General features: G+C 37.9%; 1 protein-coding gene across 5 annotated transcripts in view; it reads left to right on the top strand.

Moving 5' to 3' along the window:
* Positions 1 to 21,454, top strand: part of PAXIP1 (PAX interacting protein 1) — a 59,722-nt gene that overhangs the window by 6,702 nt on the left and 31,566 nt on the right. For 3 of the 5 annotated variants that reach the window (XM_011515982.4, NM_007349.4, XM_047420059.1), the window contains exons 3-6: positions 2,941 to 2,984; positions 5,641 to 5,704; positions 13,378 to 13,491; positions 20,379 to 21,014. In XM_011515982.4, the coding sequence (XP_011514284.1) occupies positions 2,941 to 2,984; positions 5,641 to 5,704; positions 13,378 to 13,491; positions 20,379 to 21,014 (858 nt within the window). Of the gene's footprint in view, positions 1 to 2,938; positions 2,985 to 5,640; positions 5,705 to 10,530; positions 10,694 to 13,377; positions 13,492 to 20,378; positions 21,015 to 21,454 lie in introns of those variants that run through there. The other 2 variants (XM_047420058.1, XM_047420057.1) reach the window with 2 other exon arrangements.

The following is a 21,454-nucleotide window of genomic DNA, read 5'->3' as shown; positions in this document are numbered from 1 at the left end:
TAAATATATATTTCAATGTGTAAACACTTGGGCATGGCTGCTGCTATATGTAGAGTCACTGCCGGTAGCTGCTGCAATTACAGATTGATATCATACCCCACAAGTGGGGTCGCCGCTGTGAGGTGACATTTCAGAATGGTGATCAATTCCTGAGCTAAACAAAGCAGTCTTCCTTCATTTTACACAGTATTCATATTCCTGGGAAAGTCAGTATGTAAGGCTAAGTAGAAATACCCATTACTTATACAATTAGCAGTTAGCATCTAGGATTATCACCATTTTGCCAAGGTAGTTTACTGTATTCAAACCCAACTTTTTCCCCCTCTGGCTATAGTATTTTAAAATGAGTGACAGACATATTTCATCTGTACCCAGTAGCATTCCAGCCTGCTTGTAATTTTTGACAGCACCTGTATTGTCCAGGGACTATTGTGTTACATTACAAGGTGGTAGAGTACTTCGGAGCTGACTCAACAGTTTGCCTTCACTCTAAGATATTTCAAGTAGATCCTGATATTCTTAGTTTGAACCTTATGGGCCTGTCTTATTTTGGATCCTGCTGCTAATAGTTGAGTCTGAATTCATATGACTGAAGGCTGAGACCTGGTTCCCTAGAGGCATATCCCTTGGCCTTTACCTTGATAGGAAGTTTGACAATGCATTTTAAAAATAAGGCATCTTTATACACAGTGACAGTTTATCTATCATTTACATATTTGAATCTTATAAATGTTTAAAACTTGCTTCTTTGGGCACCAAAACTTTTAAAATTATTTTTTAAATTGAGATATTTTTCTCAGTGGCCTTTGGGCATCATTGGAAATGTTAATTTTGCTGACTTGTAGTGGGCTTATTTTATTTAATTTTTTTTCAGACAGAATCTCCCAGGCTGGAGTGCAATGGTGTGATCTCGACTCACTGCACCCTCTGCCTCAGGGTTCAAGCGATTCTCCTCTCTCAGCCTCCCTAGTAGCTGGGACTACAGGCGTGTGCCACCACGCCCGGCTAACTTTTGTGTTTTTAGTAGAGACGGGGTTTCACCATGTTGGCCAGGCTGGTCTCGAACCTGTCACCTCAAGTGATCCGCCCGCCTTGGCCTCCCAAAGTGCTGAGATTACAGGCATGAGCCATCGCGATCAGCCAGCTTATTTTTATATATTGTTCTTTGCCTTTAGGATAAATAGTTCCTTATCACTTTGCTTTTGTAGTTCTCCATTTCTGCTTTGTACTGTGGCCTACATCCTAATTTTGCATTATTTTATCTAAACTTATCTGAAGTAGGGCCTCAGTGATTCTACTGTGCTTGGATGGGACTTTATGATAGCCAGCAGTCTTTAAACTGGGATACCCTACCCAAGCTCCCTGGGGGGAGATATTCAGCGTGTATGCTGTGTGGATGGTTGTAAGGTGATAGATAACATTTCCAGACTGGCCCTTCCTAAAGCTGCCTGAGAACACACCTGTGGTCACAGTGGCCCCTCCCACTTTACACAGGAAGAATCAGACCTTCACCCATCCTAATCTTGTAGTGCATTGCCCCAGGCTCTGAAAATTCTCGTGGACAGCAGACAAAAGGACAATTAGAAAGACTGGTTTTAGGGACTGTTCCCTTAGTGCTCAGTCATGGCATCATGAGGAGAGAGGGGTTTCTGGGTGTTGCTGTTGAAAGGAGAGCTTGGTCTACATGAAGGTGTTCTGAATTCAGAAGTGTCAAGGCCAATACCGATTCCTGATGCTGGCCCATTTTTTTAAATTTAACTGGAATTTTTCTAGGACTATCAAAAAATGTGAAGATATGTTGGATAAGGCACATAGATCGAAAAATTAAGTGCCTTCTTTCAGATTTCAGATAACTAATCCAGTAACTTAGTTAAAACCTTTGGTAAATGTCAAATCATAATGAAGTAATTATCCCAGGCACAGCTGCCAATCTTTATTTTATTTTATAAAATGTTTAATATTCCTCTTCTCACAGAAAATATACTTATTTAGAGTTATGCTGAAAAATTTTAGATGTCATCTAAAAAATGATAAGGGGGGCATTTCATTGTCTGAAATTTATTTAAGGTGTACATGACAAAAATAGCTTGAAGATCATTAGCTTGGAATATGACTTGCAGGAGAGCAAAGACTGCGTTTCTCGTTTTCATTGTTACATCCCCAGCGCCTTGCACCATCTCTGCATAAAATAGATTCTCAATAAATATTTGATGAATGAATTGATGGGTGGGTAGTGAGTATATATGTCTGTTTCAGTTGGCTGAAGTTTCTGGAAGTCAGCTGCCTTCCAGAATGTAGTAATGGGGGCATTACTACATTTTGATAGTAATTTTCTGAAGTAGAGCTATCAGGAGAATGATTTGTATAATTATAAAAATTAAACATAGAAACAAGATAATTTTTCAAAAATATAAATTACCCAGAAAGGTAGTAATTAATCTGTTTTATAATTAATCTCAGTTTTTAGAATTTATAAAAATATTTTCAGGCTTACAAACATTGTATCTGCTTGACTTCACTAAAACAAACAAACACCTCATGAATTTAGACTTGACTGAATTTGGGATTCAAGAAGGGAGCGTATGAGAGGCTGACTATGCCCTGGATGAGGTGTCGGCGGTGGTGGGGCAGGATGGGTGGCAGTTCCCCTGTCCTAAATGTGGGGGTCAGCAGTAATAAGTGTGTAAACCTGGAACTTAAATGTTTATACATAATTTTAAAAAAATATGGTAGTGCTTCATTCTGTAATTGGATTTTTCATCTTGGGTATTAGTAACTAATCTTTGACTATAATATTTCTATTTGAATATTCATACTTGTAATCTGGATGTTTTAAAATAGGTTGTAACAGAGACTTTTAATTTCTAAGAACAACACTAGTAAAATAATATGCCACTTGTAAATTGAGAATACTTTTTGATTTAATCTTTTCTTTTTCAGCCTTCTTGGGTGATTCTGTCCGTTCAGTGTGGAACTCTTCTGCCGTATCCTTTTTTTTGAGTGGGGGAGGAGGGAAAGGGTAACTCTGGGTTTAAGACTGAAAGAAATGATAGTTAATGGAGTGAAAAGTGGATTCATTCGTTAGGACAGATTGTTTTGTCTACATCTTATATTCCTACTATTTTCCATCCTGTTTCAAATTTTATGTACCTGATCCTTGTTATTACTCATGTTAAAAGGGGGCTCAGCTGTGACAAGTAACTCTAGGCCGGGAACTGGAGGCAGGAGCTCCGGTTCTCTTCAGCTTTTGTGGTGCTAGCTAGATGAGGGATATTTCTAAAATTCTAAGTCTATGTGAATCAAATCATGAATTGTTTGAAGAGTAAGTTGGGGAAGAGAACATGAGAATAAAATTTATAACATGCATTGTTAATCCTTTTAATTGCATTGGGTAGAACGATTATTAATTCAGTGCACCTGTGCTGTGGGTTGAGTACTGAAAATAGAGGGGTGAAGAAGACCATTTCTGCCCTCAGGGAGCTTCCTTGCTTGCATTGTTCGTTCATGGAGCATTCATAGATGTGCCCTTGCCCTGGCACTGTGTCAGGAGTCAGAAATGAGGCGTTCTACAGGCCTCCTGTTTACTCTTCTAGGCCTGGTGGCTCCCTTTTCATCCTAAAAGGATAATTCTTCATGGGACTGTTACTTCAAGTGTAACTTGCTTGTGGAAATCATTTCTTTTGCAAGTACCTGATACCATACAGTTGCTAAAATTTTAGACCTGGCAAGAGATTATGTCATGTGCTCTATTTTATTTTGCAGCTATGCCAGGCAGTTCTCTTGAAAGCACTTATTACCCATTGAATCAATGCAGATGGAAGGAAACTTATCATGAAATATTTATAGAGAAATAGGGAAAACATTCCTCTACAAGCAGTTCTTCTTGGAGGATGTGTAGAACTTTAGCAACTCCAACTCAGAAGTTCTAATATTTTCTTGTACATAGCCTAAAGAGTTGAAGGAAATTAGTTCCTGTTTTTGTTTTGTCGTTATTTATTACTTTTATAAGAAGTCAAAAAGACTGGGAATAGAGCTAAGAGGCTGATTTTGTTGTTCCAGGTCATTTATTCTCTGTACAAGACTCCTTAAGAAGCTGAGATCTTTTTTTTTTTTTTGAGACAGAGTCTTGCTCTGTCGCCCAGGCTGGAGTCCAGTGGCACGATCTCGGCTCACTGTAACTTCTGCCTCCTGGGTTCAAGCGATTCTCCTGCCTCAGCCTCCTGAGTAGCTGGGACTATGGGTTCAAGCGATTCTCTTGCCTCAGCCTCCTGAGTAGCTGGGACTACAGGCATGCGCCACCACGCCCAGCTAATTTTTGTATTTTTAGTAGAGACGGGGTTTCACCATGTTGGCAAGGATGGTCTCAGTCTCTAGACCTTGTGGTCCACCCACCTCGGCCTCCCAAAGTGCTGGGATTACAGGCATGAGCCACCGCGCCCAGCCACTGGGATCTTCTTTGAGCTCTTACTTGCCTATCCATAAGAACAAAAGATTGTGCCACTGCGCTCCAGCCTGGGCGACAAAAGCAAGACTCCATCTCAAAAACAAACAAACAAACAAGGGAGCCTGGGAGACTCACTGGTAGACAGTGCACTCTGAGATTTGCCTTTATTAATATTTCCCCAAGTCTTTGGAAGTAGAAAATCCATGAGCTTAGGTTGGAAGATGGAAACAGATCTTCGATAATGGGGCTGAAGGTATCATTGCAGTCTTCAGAGTTTTTTTTACAGCCAGGGAAGTCTCAAATGTTTATAGGATTCATCTGTGTAACCATATAGGAGACTTCAAACTTGGAATAGAATTTTTAAGCTGATATTTTTCTTGATTCACCTATCTCAATCAGTATACTTTACTCCTATAGGGAAAGAGAAGTAATACTTTAACCCATTTTGAATTCTACACACTCCAAATTATTCAAAAAAAGTCATTGTTTGCTCTGAATAGACTATGAATTACAGGCACATAGAGATCATGACTGCCTTGTGTCTTGTTAAATTCACAGTGTGTGATGTGTAGTAAGTGCTCATTAATCATTTTGAATGAATTTTTAAGATCAGCTTTAGAAATAGGAAGGATCTTTGGAATCATATATTCCAACTTTTGTTTTAAAAAAGGGGAAATTGAAGCTCACAGTTGTCTTGCCTAAGTTCACAAAGTTAGCGGAGATAATAAAACTAGAGCTCAATCAAGCTCTTATGAAGGATTCTTCCTACTGTGCAGTGGAAGCAGTCACAACGTTTCAATCTAAAAGAAACAAGACGTTTTAATTTTGCTTTTAAAATAACTGCTATGCCATTTGTGTGTATGTGTATAGGCATGTGTGTGTTTATATATTTGTATATAGTTAGCTAGCTATCAGAGATCAAAAGGCTTCCCCCTGTGAGTATACTTTGCCTATTTGATTTATGATATAAGTGGAGAGATTGGATTTCAAAATGTGCTTTACAGAAAAGCACTCAGTTCTTTCTGTGCCACCCACTACTCTCTATTCCACTCTGCCCTGTACTCTTCTTTGTCTATCTTAAGTCTGTCTCTTTCTTAAATGGACTGAGTGGGGACGGAGTGGGTGGGTAATGTCTGTTAGTGAAGTACAGGTTGCACTAATCTTATTTCATTGTAATCTTAATAACTATAAAACAGAGTAAATGGTTTTTCTCCAGAATCATGTCAGATTTTTTTTGGAATCACTGCCTGCCTTTCTCAGGTAAGCATGGTTACAGTTAGTCTTGAGTTATTTATATGTGACACTTCTGAGTTTTTGTATGGTTGGATTTATGACCTGTTAACCAGTTTTAGAGAAGCTATTTTCTAAACTGACTGTGTATTTAATATAAACTCATGACACTTAAAATTATTTAAATATTTGTGCTTGCTTTTAAGATTTAAAGTTTTTAATGGGTGAAAATGGTCTTTATAAATAAAAAAGATTTAAAACTTGAATATGAAAAAATATTAAAAATGAAATTAAAAGATGACAAGGAAAATTCAGTTAGAAATACAGGCAAAGAATTTTCTTAATAAATAAAGGGATCATACAGATCAACAAGAATAAAAAAGACCTTAGCAGATAAGGCAGAGAAACAAATTTAGAATCTATAAAGAGGAATTACTAATAAGTGTAACAAAACATTTGATGCAGTTTATAATCAAACATGAACATTTTAATAGCAATGAGATAAGTGTTTTTGCTCATCGAATTTGTAACAGTGTGTTCAGTGTTGGTGGAGATGCTGAGGACAGACTCCTGCTTCCTGCCGGCAGGAATGGGAGTACAGCAGTTTCCTAGGAAAGGGGAGCAGTGTCAAGCCTTAAAATACTCATTTCGTTTTCACCTGCATTTCTTTTATGTTTAGAAACTTATCCCAAGTCGGCCGGGCATGGTGGCTCATGCCTATAATCCCAGCACTTTGGGAGGCCGAGGTGGGCGGATCACCTGAGGTCAGGGGTTTGAAACCAGCCTGGCAAACGTGGCGAAACCCCGTCTCTACTAAAAATACAAAATTAGCCAGGAATGGTGGTGCGCACCTGTAATCGCAGCTACTTGGGAGGCTGAGGCAGGAGAATCACTTGAACCTGGGAGGCGGAGGTTGTGGTGAGCTGAGATCGTGCCATTGCACTCCAGCCTGGGTAACAAGAGCAAAACTCCATCTCAAAAAAAAAAAAAAAAAAAAAGAGAAACTTATCCCAAGTCGATAGAAGGACAGACTGACACATAAAGGTGCCTACATTTATTGATAAGCATTATTTATAAGATGGTAAAATTGGAAACAATCGGATCATCCACTATTTGGGAATGTTTAAGAAACCTATTGTATATACTTACACAGTAGTCTAGCTGCTTAGCCATTTTTGAATTCTGTTTTATGAAAACTTGTAAAGACATGGGAAACGTCTTAAGTGGCAAAAGCAGGCCATAGCCTAGGTATGTACAATATTACACCAGCCAGATAAAATATCTGAAATGAGAAACCAAAATGTTAACAGTGGTTAGTTCTGAGTATCTGAATATTTAATATTTTTGTATTGTATTTTGTTTTTCTAACCCCCAGCTAAGAAAAACCTCAAATCATAATAAAAACTATTAGAAAAAAATCAAATTGTTATTGTTTAAAGTCGTTTTACAAATTACGTGGAATAATTTGTTTAAAATTAGTGGTCCTTAGGAAGGTGAAAGTGCACTGTAGGATGTCCCATCTTATTTGACCTGACAGTCCTCATCCCAGGCTGTCATTTTGGTGCTCATAGGTGATACTTTTGAAAAAGTATTTAGTCATCTTTTTCTGTGCACACCTTTGAGAAAAGGGCACATTCAAGTTATTAGGTAAGATGGAAAGAAATTTGGTTATAATCTTGCTTTTCCTTATGCCTTTGTGATAGAGGATTACGGAGCTGGGTAGTATTTGGTTTAGCATTGTTAGGTTGTTGGCCAGACTCAACAGTTAATACAAAGGATATCACCGGTCTGAACTTGATCCATCCTCTGTCCAAGTAATAAGTAAATTTATCTGTGGTTACTGTGTTTTTGTTGGTGTCTCTTGTATTCTGGAAGTTCTCTAAAATCCTGTTTTTGTGACATTAATTTGATGGAGATCCTTCAAGTAGCAAAATTGGCTTATTTTTTTCTCTTTAACAGGAATTTTGTTGGTATTTGTATTTTGCAATGTTTTTTCATATCTGTTATAAGTGTATATTTACATGAATGATCTTTAAAGTTGGCTAAAATGAGAAAAGAAATGCTGGGTGCTATGGTTACATGTAATTTTTATTGTTTTCCTCTACTTCTCTGTATGTTCCAAATTTACAATCAACTTATCAGAAAAGTTTTAAAAATGAAAGCATTACTACTTATGTATAAACACAATGTACTTTGGCTAAAATGTGAATTTTTCATTTAATTTTATTTGCACTGGTTGGATTTCTGGGTTTCAGAGACTCAGAGCCGACTATCCAGAAATGATTCCAATTGAATGAGAAAGGGAGAGAGGACGAAGGGCCACGCTGAGTTTGGGACAGGGACAGGGAGTCCTATGGGCATTTTTCAGAGATGAAGGTCACAGTGACATGGGATTTTGAAGACTTGATTTGGTGAAATAAATAAGAAAATCAAAAGTATGTGAGTATAAGATGATTATAGGGTTTCAAATGAGGTAATTAGATATTGTTAAATATTAACTATGAGTTTAGCACAAAAGAATATTATTAGTCTTCCAAAGAACTAATAGTTATGTTTAACAGAGTTTATATTTGTAACAAATTGTTATATTATACATGTAATAAATTAGGTTATAGTGTAGACATACATACATGATACATATATGACCACTCAGGGGCCACAGGTATGATTCTATGAGCTTAGGAAGGATGGCATTGGTCTGGATTGCGAGGCGAGGGAAGCCTTGACAGAGTGGATGTAAGGTGTGAGTGGCCCTGAAAGAATGGACAGAATTGGAGGAAATGGGAAGGGAGGAGGGCATTCTGCATAGAGCAAGGTGGAAGGAGAAGTCAGGAGTACACAGAGGCTAGATAAGAGGAGACTGGTGTCAACCAAGGGTGTGCATTTGCACGTAGAAGAAAAAATGGTCAGGCAGGTAGATGGATAGAGACGATGGGAAACCAAGGTATATGAGTTTGAACTGGGTAAAGTAGGTAGCAGGATGCTTCATCACCCTTTTTTTCTCATTGATTTTGGATTACAAATACTTACCTCAGAAAATTTGGGAAACCAAAAGTCAAACAAAATTAGAATCACTTGTGATCATTGCAGGTAAAACTGGTCCAGGAGCTCTGAGGATGACTTGCAGGGCAGGACAGAGGCTGGAGTTTTGACAAATGGAGATGGGATTCAGGGTAGCAGATACAACATGGGACTTAGCAACAGATGGGACTCAGCAGGTATTGGGGACATGGGATGCTGTGGTGCAAAGAGTGAGAAGCCAGCACTCACTGTATACCTCCCTGTGCCAGATCCCATGGTGGATGCCAAAGATTATGTCATTGTTTCAGTCGAGGAGCACAGGAAAGTGGCAGCACCGCTGAAGGAGCTGGGAAATAGGGAGGAGCCTGATTGGCGAGGGGAGATGGTGACACTGGTTTGAAACACACTCTGGGCTGTTGATAAGGTATGGAAGTGTAGGAACTTGGAGCTGCTGTGGCATGAAGGAGATTCCTGCAGAGCATGATAGAGAGAGGAGCAGATAACTGGGAGTAGAGCCTTGGATAGCACGCATTGGTAGAGAGATTTGGGGAGGAAAAAAAGAAGGAGCTTGAAAACAGAGATGATACTGGAGGAGGAGGACGTTATTTTTAGAAACCAAGGTAAAGTCACACTTAATCATTTTTATTTTCATTGCTGGGAAATAACAACAACCCAGGTAAAGATTTAGAGCATAAATTGGTAGAAGATAGTTGTACATAGGTTTGTGTGTATCCTGAGTCCTATTCTGTGACCCAGGAAGAGGAGGAAAAGGATGATAGAAAGTGATACAGGAGTATCAGCTGGCTCAGTGAGCATCACACAGGCTAAGGGGTCTAAGTAGATCTTGGATTCTCAGCTGAGAAGTCACCAGTGTAGTCCCTGTGGGGATAGGAGGATGGATATCCATAAAGAAACAACTAGGTGAGCAGACTGCTCAGAGAAGGTGAATATCTTGATTCTTTGCAGTGGAATAGTGTCATTTGATTGTGTGTTCTGGGAAGGGGCTCTGCTCACCCACTGTCAGGTGAAAGGTCCAATTTTACCTTGGTGCTAAACTTACCAAGGGGAGTGGCTGGGTCAATGATGGCCAAAAGGTTAATTTCTTAGCAAGCTCTTTGATAGTATTTTATATCCTTTTAGCAAATTCAGTGGATAAGAAAAATCAGAATCCAGAAATAGCATGATCTTTGTGGGTCACTTACTGTACTTCCCGCAGTTCATCACTTAGCGTGATGAATTGGAATCCCCAGTGTGTCATGGGGTAAAATAAAAGCATTTCTTTTAAGTTGAGAAAGATTGTTCAAATAGGGATGGGGAAGACTTTAATAGTCACTTCTATGAAGAAACCCTGGAAATTGTAGTTTAAGAAAAGTGCATTGGGAGCACTAATATTTTGTGGTTGCTAAAAAATGTTATTTTGGTTGTAAGATACATTAACAACATATGTACAGTGTGCAGCTAAGGGACTTTGGTCCAACAAATCCTTGATGGGTACTTCCTTTGTGACAGGAGCAATGCAGAGGGGTACAAATTAATTAAGATGCGATTTCTCTCTCAGTAAACATACAGTCTAGGAGGGGTCAGGCCTTGGGCAAATACGGTATGTTGCAACATATGCAAAAATGAAAGTGGGCACCAGGTACAGAAGCAGGAGGGAGTGCTCACAGTGGTTAGTCCTAACTGATTGGAGACTGTCAGAGGGATCTGCACCTTTTCTGCACACTGGAGCACCCATGCGCACACACACTCACATGCACACGCCAGGCAGGACCCCAGCTTTACAAAAGGACTGTTTCTTGGTGGTTCTCAGTGACCTTCTGTCTTTTCCCCGTCAGGGTGTTGATACAAGCTGGAGCTCTTTGTTGGAGTCTTCCAGAGCTCTCCCAGGGAGAGGTAGGGAAGGGAGCTTGTCCAGCAGAAGTTGGGAAGCACAGAGATCATCTGCCTTCTTCTGACCCGGTATTGATGCAGGCTGAGGCCTCTGTTGTAATGTGCTGGGTAGGTTTTGGGGAATAGGTCAAGAGTGTAATGGAGAGCCTGGCTAGGTCATGATTTGAATCTAGAAGACTAAAAAGTCCTTTCCATTCTGTATCTCAATCAACAGTATTTCTTGACTGCCTACCCATGTGCCTTGCACTGTACTAGGTGCTGTGAAAGATCTCAGAGAAGTTTAGGACATCATGTAAGACTCTTTAAGAAGGAGTGTTAGAGTTCATAGTCAAGACTGGACAAGGAGAAAATCCTGTAAGCTAGAATCAAGGAGTGTCTTATTGGGGGTGGTGAGGCCTGAAGAAGGAAAAGGGAGAGTGTTCCTGATTGGTTTAAAGGAAAGCTTTTATTCCTGGGGGCACAGACTTGAAATTCTAGTCCTCTGCTCCTGGTTGCTTTGGAGTATAGCTGGGAGGACAGATAAGCAAGCAGATAGTTGTAGAGTGTGAGAAGTATTTAGATTTCTGTCCAGCTTGCTGTGGGAGTACAGTGGTAATGCCACCTGAGCTGAGTCTTAGAGGAGGAGGTCGGAGGGTGGGCGCAGCGGGGCACAGGAAAGCAGAACGTGGTGAGGACGGCAGGTGCACGTGGGGGCAGTGCTCATGGGCAGGAGGAGGTGGTTAGGAGCAGCCAGACAGGAAGGGCCTGGACACTATGGGGGAGCCTTTGGATTTTAGCCTTGCAGCACTGAGGAGACATTATTAGCCAACATGATAACATTGGTATTTTGGAAAGATGGTTTTTAAAAAAGAAAAGCACTTTTCCCCAATTATAAAATTAATGCTTTTGAAAATTTGGAAAATACAGAAAAGTATAAAAATGAAAATAAAAATGTCCCCATAATCCTATCACCACTAAGTAACTATTGTTAACATTTTGGTGTGGAAAGAGCATTCTTAATTACGCTGGTGGAGATTCATTAAATGAGCTGGTATGGATGTTCAAAGTCATTTAATCCAAACGTACATCAGTGAAGAATCTGGGTCATGGAAGTTTTCCAAGTTGACATAAGCGAGTTATTGGAGGCGTCGTATTAATGCCAGGTCTCCTCCATTCCTCCCTAGCTGATGTTCTTTCCACAGCAATCTCCTGCACCCTGTTGAGGTCTACGCCTGTGACACAGGCCAAATAGGGTATAGGACTAGATTTACTGCAGTCAGTAAAATAAAATAATACTTAACTGAACAGATAGGCAAATCTTGGTAATAAAGGCATATCTAGATTGTTTTTTAATTTCATTTTTAATAAAGATTAGATAATGACTCATTGGATTAATCTGTATTATCATATAATTAAATCTCAACTCTCCAATGCTGCAGGATATAAATGTTTTTGTGAAAGCCTCTAATAAAAATAACCTGGTCCAGTCTTCTGAAATGTGACATTGACTTACTAAATTAACAAGTTATAAAATAATGATTTGAAAAGTGTTTTTTAGAAAGCTAACATGTTCTTGTTAATATTCATAGAATAGTGTGTAATACAGAATAATTTCTAGAAATGTTTGTAAAATGGATGAGAGTAGATGAACAATGCTAGATTATTGGCAAGCTGCATACTGGCAGTTAAAAAGAGATTAACATGCTATTATCAATACTTTTAAAAAATTAACGAGACAAAGTTCAGGATTCTTCAACAACTATAATCCTCAACTTACAATAAATTTATCCAGAAAAAATTTACTCGGTTAAATGATTATCTTAGAATTAATGCTTATATTTTTATTTTTCTTAAATGTTCTTTTGCTTTTCAGACTCTAAAATTTCATTTTTTTTAGAAATTATTTTTGACTTTCCCAGCAGTAACTGCCCTTAGAGAAGCACTGTAGAACAGTGGAAAGTCCAGTTTGGAGTTAGACCTGGGTGTAGACAGACCTGGGTTTTAAAAGTCAGCTTTTCCAATTATTAGGTGTAATTTAGTGTGTTTCCTTATGTTTAAAATGGGGTGGATGATTCCTGTTTCACATGGCGGTTGGAAGGGTTAGCTGTATAGATAAAGCACTTGGCACAGTTCCTGGCACATAGTAGGCAGGCAATAAATGGTAGCTGTTTCTATTGTTACAGTGAAAGCCTGTTTGACTGCATAAGCCATTGTATCTGGAGTCGTTACTTCATCACTGAGCAAGCATAAGAATTATTCCTTTTATGCTTGCCTTCTTTCTTTCCTGTGTTAAGTAATATTTACATTTTCCCCTGAACTTACAAGCCACCATATTTTTATCTTTATTTTTATTTTATTCATTTCATAATTAGTATTTGTTATCCATTAGCATAAAGGCATTCCTAAAATACGATTTTGATATTGCTGTTGTATTTAAACATTTTCAAAAGTGACACAAATGGAAACTGGAATGGCATACTAGTTCTTCCTGCTTTTTTTCCCCTGACTATTTTTGTTATAGACTGAAATAATCCTCCATTTCACTTTTTGGAATGTGGATATAAATATTTTTAAATTCATTTGGTGACAAGGCAAAAATAAGTAATTCATATATGTAAAACTATTATGATAGGAGTGAAGTTTTTGTTATAATAAGCAGATAGCTAAAAGCTTCTCTATTTTTTCTACAAATATTCTTAGGTTAATTTTATTAAGGGAGAAACAGAATTGTTGCAGTATATTACTAAAGTGAAAATATAGCCATGCACAGATTGAAATGTATGGTAAAAGCCTTCTTTCTAACTTTCTGTCAGGTGTCATCTGAAGACAGAAGTGCCCTGTGGGCTTTGGTTACGTTCTATGGGGGAGATTGCCAGCTAACCCTCAATAAGAAATGCACGCATTTGATTGTTCCAGAGCCAAAGGGGGTAAGCGTTTCTTGTGCCACCTTCTTTTTGTATGTCATTTAAGAATTTCTAGTAATCACATGTCTTTTTTGAGCTTCTTTTAAATTAGTTATTATATTTCATTTACAAAAGCTGATTATATTGGTTTATATTATTTATATCCAGCTTCATTCCACAAACGATGTGAGATGATTGTAAATTGTAAGCCAAATATAACTTCTAAATACTATGAAATTTTGCTTCATTTTATGCGGAAAACAGGAAAATTTTATTAATCTGTAGAATTTCCTTTCAAATCCAGTAAAACTTTGGTTCATTTTTATTTGTTAAAAAAATGTATTTTTAGTTCCCGTCACCATTTTTTTTTAAGAACCTTGTATCAGGTATAATTATAAACGTGTGTGGTGAAATTTTCTATATATTTTCTTCTTCATAATCTGGAATATATGAAAATGACTTTTGTCTTGATAAGCATAGGGCTCTCATCCTTGAGCAGTGGTGTGGCTGTATGGATTTTGTTTCCACAAGTAAGACCCCTGGATCAGCAGCATCTGCCCCCCTTGGGGACTTGTTAGAAATGCAGCCTGTTGGCCAGGCGCAGTGGCTCATGCCTGTAATCCCAGCACTTTGGGAGGCCGATGTGGGTGGATCAGTTGAGGTCAGGAGTTCGAGACCAGCCTGACCAACATGGAGAAACCCTGTCTCTACTAAAAATACAAAAATTAGCCAGGCATGGTGGCATGTGCTTGTAATCCCAGCTACTCAGGAGGCTGAGGCAGGAGAATCGCTTGAACACAGGAGGTGGAGTTGCAGTGAGCTGAGATCACACCACTGCACTCCAGTCTGGATGACCGAGTGAGACTCTGTCTCAAAAAAACAAAAAGAAATGCAGTCTGTCCAGCCTCTTCCCAGACCTAATCAGATGAGCCCAACAGTCAGTGTGTGATCAAGTCCTCTGGTGGGTGATTCTGATGCATACTAAAGTTTCAGAACCACTGTTCTATAGAAAGCATTATATAAAATTTATCATGTGACTTCTAAAATTTAAGTAAAAAACATATTTTCCATGACAGTTTAAGTAATAAACAGTATGCTTTGGTTAAAATAGTGGGTTCTTTTTACATTAATGTTGATTTATAGCAAAAATGTATTTGATTTTTACATAGTTAATTTGAAGGGGAAATGAAACCTTTAGCTTTTTTCACTGATTTAGAATGACAATTTAAGAGGCACTGTGTGAACAGAGTGGGTTTGTCAAAGCGGTTTTGAATTGTGATTTGACGTTTTAATTCTAGTGCCTTAATTTAGCGTTTTTTCCCCTTCCAAAATATTTTGATGAGAAATCCTTAGTAATTCTTTGGGCTTTAGGATAGAGTATATATTTTAAAGTATTTATTGACTTTAGACTAATTTTTTAAGTGTATAGCTAAAAATGGAATCTTTTAAAATTTTTATTTGGAAGGAAAAACAAATCTAAGTCATAAGGTCTATATATAAATACTTTAATTGAGCTTTATTTATCCCAACAAAGAGGCACTTAAATCATTTTTCTTTGGCTAAAACATGCTTGTGAATAAGACAACAAATATGCTACTATAATTACATTTAGATAAAGCAAATACTCCATATATTTTAAAAGTTGATACTAAACGTGATATATATAATGTATTATGCATGTATATAGAGATTATCTTATCTAAGTCAATGGTGGAATTATAATATTGTCTTATGTAATGTATTTGTTCTTCATTCTTGATTTCATTTATGGACTGGAAAAGAAAGATAACTCTTTTTTTGCTTTTCCAATTTTAATTTCCCAGTTTTACATGAACTAATTCAACATAGGGAAAAATGAACTACTATTTTAATGCTTACTGTGTTTCTTCTGCAATGGTAAATATTTGTTAAAAGCAGATTTTGTATCTGCCAGTAATAAAAATAACACTAATACGCAGCCATTAGTGAGCACTTACTAAGTGCCAGTACAGTGCTGCTTGCGGCGTACAGTGAAGGAAGTCCTGCTGTCCCCTTGAAGAAACTGAAACACAGACACCCACCACTCCTTTCTCTAACCCCGTTCTGTACACATTACCATTCCTAAGTAATTTTTTTTTTTCTTGAGACAGAGTCTCACTCTGTCGCCCAGGCTGGGGTGCACTGGTGCGATCTCAGCTCACTGCATCCTCCATCTCCCGGGTTCACACAATTCTCCTGCCTCAGCCTCCCAAGTAGCTGGGATTACAGGCTCGTGCCACCACACCTGACTAATTTTTGTATTTTTAGTAGAAACCAAATGTTGGCCAGGCTGGTCTCGAACTCCTGACCTCCAGTGATCTGCCCACCTCAACCTCTAAGTGCTGGGATAACAGACGTGAGAACCACTCCCAGCCCTTAATTTTTAAGAAGGCATAATGCCCACATGTAAAGAAAGAGAAAGAGAGCAATTAATAATGAAAAACATCCAGGATTTTTTAATGCTCAAGCATAACTACCCTAGAAGACAATGAAGTAGTAAGATATTACATGGGCCAGAAGTGGTGGCTCACGCCTGTAAATCCCAGCACTTTGGGAGGCCAAGGTGGGAGGTCTCTTGAGCCCAGAAGTTTGAGACCAGCCTGGGCAACAAAGTGAGACCCCATCTTTACAAAAAATAAAAAATTAGCTGGATGTGGTGACTCACGCCTGTGGTCCTAGCTACTTGGGAAGCTGAGACGGAAGGATTGCTTGAGCCTGGGAGGTTGAGGCTGCACTGAGCCATGATTGTGCCACTGCACTCCAGCCTGGGCAACAAAGTGAGACCCTGCTTCAAAAAATAAAAGATATTTGTATATGTATAACATATATAAGCATATATTTTTATATATTACAGTCATCAATATAGCGGCTGCGAAAAAAAGATTAATGTTGTATATCTGTTGTAATGATGACATAAAGGGTAAGTGATCATTGCCATTAGTGACAGTTTCCAATAAAATTCAATTAAAAAAAAAACTGACTAACTTGTAAATTTTTGAATAAGCTAGAAATAATTCCTTTTATTTTTATTTTTATTTTTCTGGAAAATTAAGTACATACCTCCAGATATTTTTTAATATGACTGATGGTACGTTACCAGAATGTTTGTAGGGTAATTCCTCGACTATGCAGCATTGTCTTGATCATTCTAGGACTTAGCATTCCCTCAACCATTTCCTTCCAGCCAGCTTTTGTGACAAATACAATAGGCTCTCACAAATTTCCAAAATTTCGGGGAGTGGTAACAGCTCTTCTTTAGTGTCACTGCGTTAGTTTCAGCCAAGATCACAGGATCAGAAATTGACAGTTGGACTTCATGCTCATGTCTGTCTGTTGTCTTTAAGGCAATAGTGTTTCATTCCTGTTGGATCCTGGTAGGCCATGCACCCTTCTATGGCGTGGTGTTCCCTGCCTCACCTCGCCTCTTCCCTGGTTCTTTCTAACTCACCCCTTGAAGGCTGAGAAGCACCAGTCTATAAAATGAACTGAAGGAACCATATATTCTGGCATAGTCTATTTATAAAACCAAAATGGTTATATTAATTATATTAATTATTATTTACATTATAATTAACATAATATAATTATGTTCTTGATTCACGATTATGTTATGTTTGTGGCTTATGTAACTCAATAACCACAAATATTTGAAAAATTAAATCCCTTTAAAAAGACTTAATTTTTATCATTCCTTTAAATTATTGTATTTTATAATCTATTCAGACATAAATTTGTAAACCTAATAGTGGTGAATTTAAATAGTTTCTTCTAATTTGTAAGTTTTATGAGTGCTAGAGACCAGCTGACTGTACACAAAAATAACATTTCTTTTTAAAGTAAATGTTTTTGTTTTCTTTAATGAGCACATAGCAAAAGCTTGTGCAAATGGCCTAATAAAACTACCTTTTATACTCTTGAAGTTTAAAAGTTTCAAATTAAGAAGAATGAAAGAATTTATAACTTAAAACCAACAGAAACGGGGTATGGTTATTAGTTGTTGGGGAGAGGGGACATGGTTGACCCTTGAGGTCCTTAGCCCTTAGTGAGTTAGAAGTTTTGAGGATACAAAATTTAGAATAATTTAGCTGATAAATTGGGTCAGGCAAAGGCATCTAAACATTGCTTTCCTCTTAAATCATCTTTGTTTAAACAGTTACTGTCTTTCAGTGATTAAAAACTACCTATCTTGTGAAAAGCGAGAGAAAACTTGAGTGAAATATAGTAAGGCTGTTTACCTAAGTGTTTTACTTAGATTTCCACAGGAAATAGTCAAGTTATTTCTGAAATGTGAAATGCCAGCATTCTATACAAACTAGGAACTCAAGAGCCTACTGGATCCCAGCCTTTTAAGTGTGAAATTATCTTTTTCATATCCAAAATTTTCAGTGACTCCTCTTCATGGCAGTAGTTTTGTTTTGTTTTTTGGTATTTGTTAAAACAATTAAAAATAACTTTTTTTCATATTTTACTATTTCAACAGATATCTTTTTAACTTGGAAAAATCATATGTAAACCATATTACATATAGTCATATGTTATTCAAGCAGATGATATTTTTGTATTAATTGGTTCATAAATATTCTGCTGTGTACCTGGACTTCATATTTTCCTAAAATAACTTGGGTTTTTCTGGAATGGGTAGTCCAGAAATTGAAAATCTCTAGTAGAAATTTATCATCTGGGGAGAGCTATATAACATTTTATGCTTTTAAATATTTAAGAACAGCATGATTTTTTAGGGTAAAGAATAAGACATTTTATTGTCGAGGGTATAGGTAAATTGATGTACTCTTACATAGCTGTTGGAAGTGTAATTGGAATAGCCTTTTTGGGAAGGGAAGTGTAGTTAGAGATATGAAGCCTTAAATCTATTCCTTTTCAAACCTCAACACCAAAACCTAGGAATTTGTCATAAAATATAACTGCAGTTTTTCATAGTAGTGAAACACTGGAAACAACCACGTGGCTAACACTGGGGGATGAACTAAGGTACACAGCTGTGCAACCGAAGAGGAAACTGTAAAAGCCTTTGAGACTACTGGGGAGATCTGAATAGGGCCTGAGGATGAGGTGAATCATAGTTCATTGTGCTGCTATGATAATTATGGTGGTTTAGAAAGTCTTTATCAATTTGAGATCCGTAAACAAAGTTCAGGAGAAGCAAGATTTGTAAAAGATTGCCAGTTATTAAAGCTGGGTGACAGATACAAGGGATTTATTCCACTAGTCTCTAATTTGGTCTGCGTTCGAAAATGTACATTAAAAAGTTTGGTCTGCGTTCGAAAATGTACATTAAAAAGTTTGGTCTGTGTTCGAAAATGTACATTAAAAAGTTAAAAACAAAAGCATAAAAGTATACATGTTTTCATAGGAAGAGGTTGTTCACAATATATTAAGTGAAAAAGGAACATTATAAAGTATTTGTTCACTATGACTATATGTTTTTTCCCTTTGCCCTTTTAATATATGTACATATATATTTATAACAAAAATAAATTTAAACTATACCCTAAAAATGTTAATCGTGGTCCTTTCTAGTCAGTGTGATTATGATTACATTCATTTTCCTTTGCTTAGCTTCTTATTCATGGGTGTCTCCCATGACTAGGTTTTTCTTATATTTTAAAAAGGTTTGAGAAAGAACAAACTCACAAACACAAGTTAAGTCACTGAGCTGTGTGCAGAGCTCACTATTTGCAAGGATCTCCCAGATGGGCAATGCCTGGCGTTCGCTGCCAGGACCGAATGACCAACAGCTGTCCTCTCTGTGCTGCTGCCCCGCATCCCTATTGCGTGTGACTCTTATTCCACCCAGAAATTGCAAATGCCACCTTGGGGCTCTGCAACAGGACACGGAGTTTAGTTTAGGGCCCTGATTATGTGTTTGCTAGAGAATTGCTGTTATGTGTTAAGCTTTTAGGAGCACAGCCAAATTTACAACTCATTTATTTTAAGGTTACTTTATTGTCATATTACTCTTATTTAACATTTTTTATTTATTTCCTCTTTCTTTGTTATTCCCTCCCCTGTGCCTTCCACATTCTACACCCTTTACCACAGGAGAGGTCTCTGTTAGCTTGCCGAACATACTACTCCGGACACATCTTTTCCAGTGGGCTGTATTTTCTGCTTTCATTCTAACTGTGCAAATTGTCATCATTTGTGCCCCAGCCAAAGCTCACCTTTCAACGGGGCTTTCCTCCTGCCCTCCAGCTTATGTTGATGAGATTCCCTTCCAGTCTGTTACTGCATCATTCAGCAGTGGTTTTATATTGTATTTGCATTCCGTATTTAATATCTCTTTAGAACCAAATTGTGAGCCTTGTTAGGTCAGAGACTTGTTGCATCCTTTGTGTCTCCATCCCTTAGTGCTGCTTGGCATATAGCATGAGCTCCATAAATACTGGATCTTGAATAGAGCTGTCCTATGCAAGTCAGCCAAGTCAGCCATGCTCCATGAGTGTACGTGATGCATTGGCGGCACTCTGCCACGCTGTTACTTTACTAACTGTCATGGAAAACCAAGCTTCTAAATATTATCAATCAGTAAAAACTTAGGTAGCAATTATTCATTTCATAATTTTCCATAGGATTACTAGCTCTACTTTTGTACTTAAAATATCATTTTAAAAAGTTAATTTTCAGCCAAGTCTTTTAAGACTCCTGCTACAGGTGTGAGACCTTCCTATGATCACTGCTGTATGGTTCCTTTTCACTTTTGCCTCATGTCCTCTGTCTAAAAGATCAAACGTTGCTTCTGTATAAAATTGTAATAATAGTTGCTCAACATTTCAACTGCATTCCTTGACTGAGTTTTTTCTAAAATGCGTAATTGTAGGAAATGTGATAAAATTTACAGCTTTGTTTTGTGTGTGTTTCTGCTTTCCTCGTAGGAGAAATACGAATGTGCTTTAAAGCGAGCAAGTATTAAAATTGTGACTCCTGACTGGGTTCTGGATTGCGTATCAGAGAAAACCAAAAAGGACGAAGCATTTTATCATCCTCGTCTGATTATTTATGAAGAGGAAGAAGAGGAAGAGGAAGAGGAGGAGGAAGTAGAAAATGAGGAACAAGATTCTCAGAATGAGGGTAGTACAGATGAGAAGTCAAGCCCTGCCAGCTCTCAAGAAGGGTCTCCTTCAGGTGACCAGCAGTTTTCACCTAAATCCAACACTGAAAAATCTAAAGGGGAATTAATGTTTGATGATTCTTCAGATTCATCACCGGAAAAACAGGAGAGAAATTTAAACTGGACCCCGGCCGAAGTCCCACAGTTAGCTGCAGCAAAACGCAGGCTGCCTCAGGGAAAGGAGCCTGGGTTGATTAACTTGTGTGCCAATGTCCCACCCGTCCCAGGTAACATTTTGCCCCCTGAGGTCCGGGGTAATTTAATGGCTGCTGGACAAAACCTCCAAAGTTCTGAAAGATCAGAAATGATAGCTACCTGGAGTCCAGCTGTACGGACACTGAGGAATATTACTAATAATGCTGACATTCAGCAGATGAACCGGCCATCAAATGTAGCACATGTAAGTCACTCTTTCCGAAAAAAATGTCAGTATTGGATCTTAGAATTGGATTTCACAGTCTATTTCAATGTAGTTTATTGGTTTTGCTTTTTCAGACCAAATAACTTACAAGCAGTATTTGTGTGAGAACCTGTTTACTTGTGTGTGTGTGTGTGTGTGTGTGTGTGTGTGTATGTGTATATATGTATATTTCAGGGTCATTGAAAAAGGGTAACAGCGTATTTTAAGTTGAAGATTTAAAGCAGCTGAGTAGAACCAGGATGTCAGTGATGGAGTACTATCCGTTGAAGGGTTTCCACTCTTACTTAGTTTAAAATTAGCAATGGCAGCAAAGAGAATAATGAAGTTTACCAGCTGTACCTGATTTGCTTATAATGAACTTCATGGTAGTAAATAAATAACACAAATTCATGCATTTGTTGAGGAAGGCTTGATTTCAG

This window comes from Homo sapiens, chromosome 7, assembly GCF_000001405.40.
Source record: "Homo sapiens chromosome 7, GRCh38.p14 Primary Assembly".
Lineage (NCBI taxonomy): Eukaryota > Metazoa > Chordata > Mammalia > Primates > Hominidae > Homo > Homo sapiens.
This window is presented reverse-complemented; position numbering and strand designations above follow the sequence as displayed.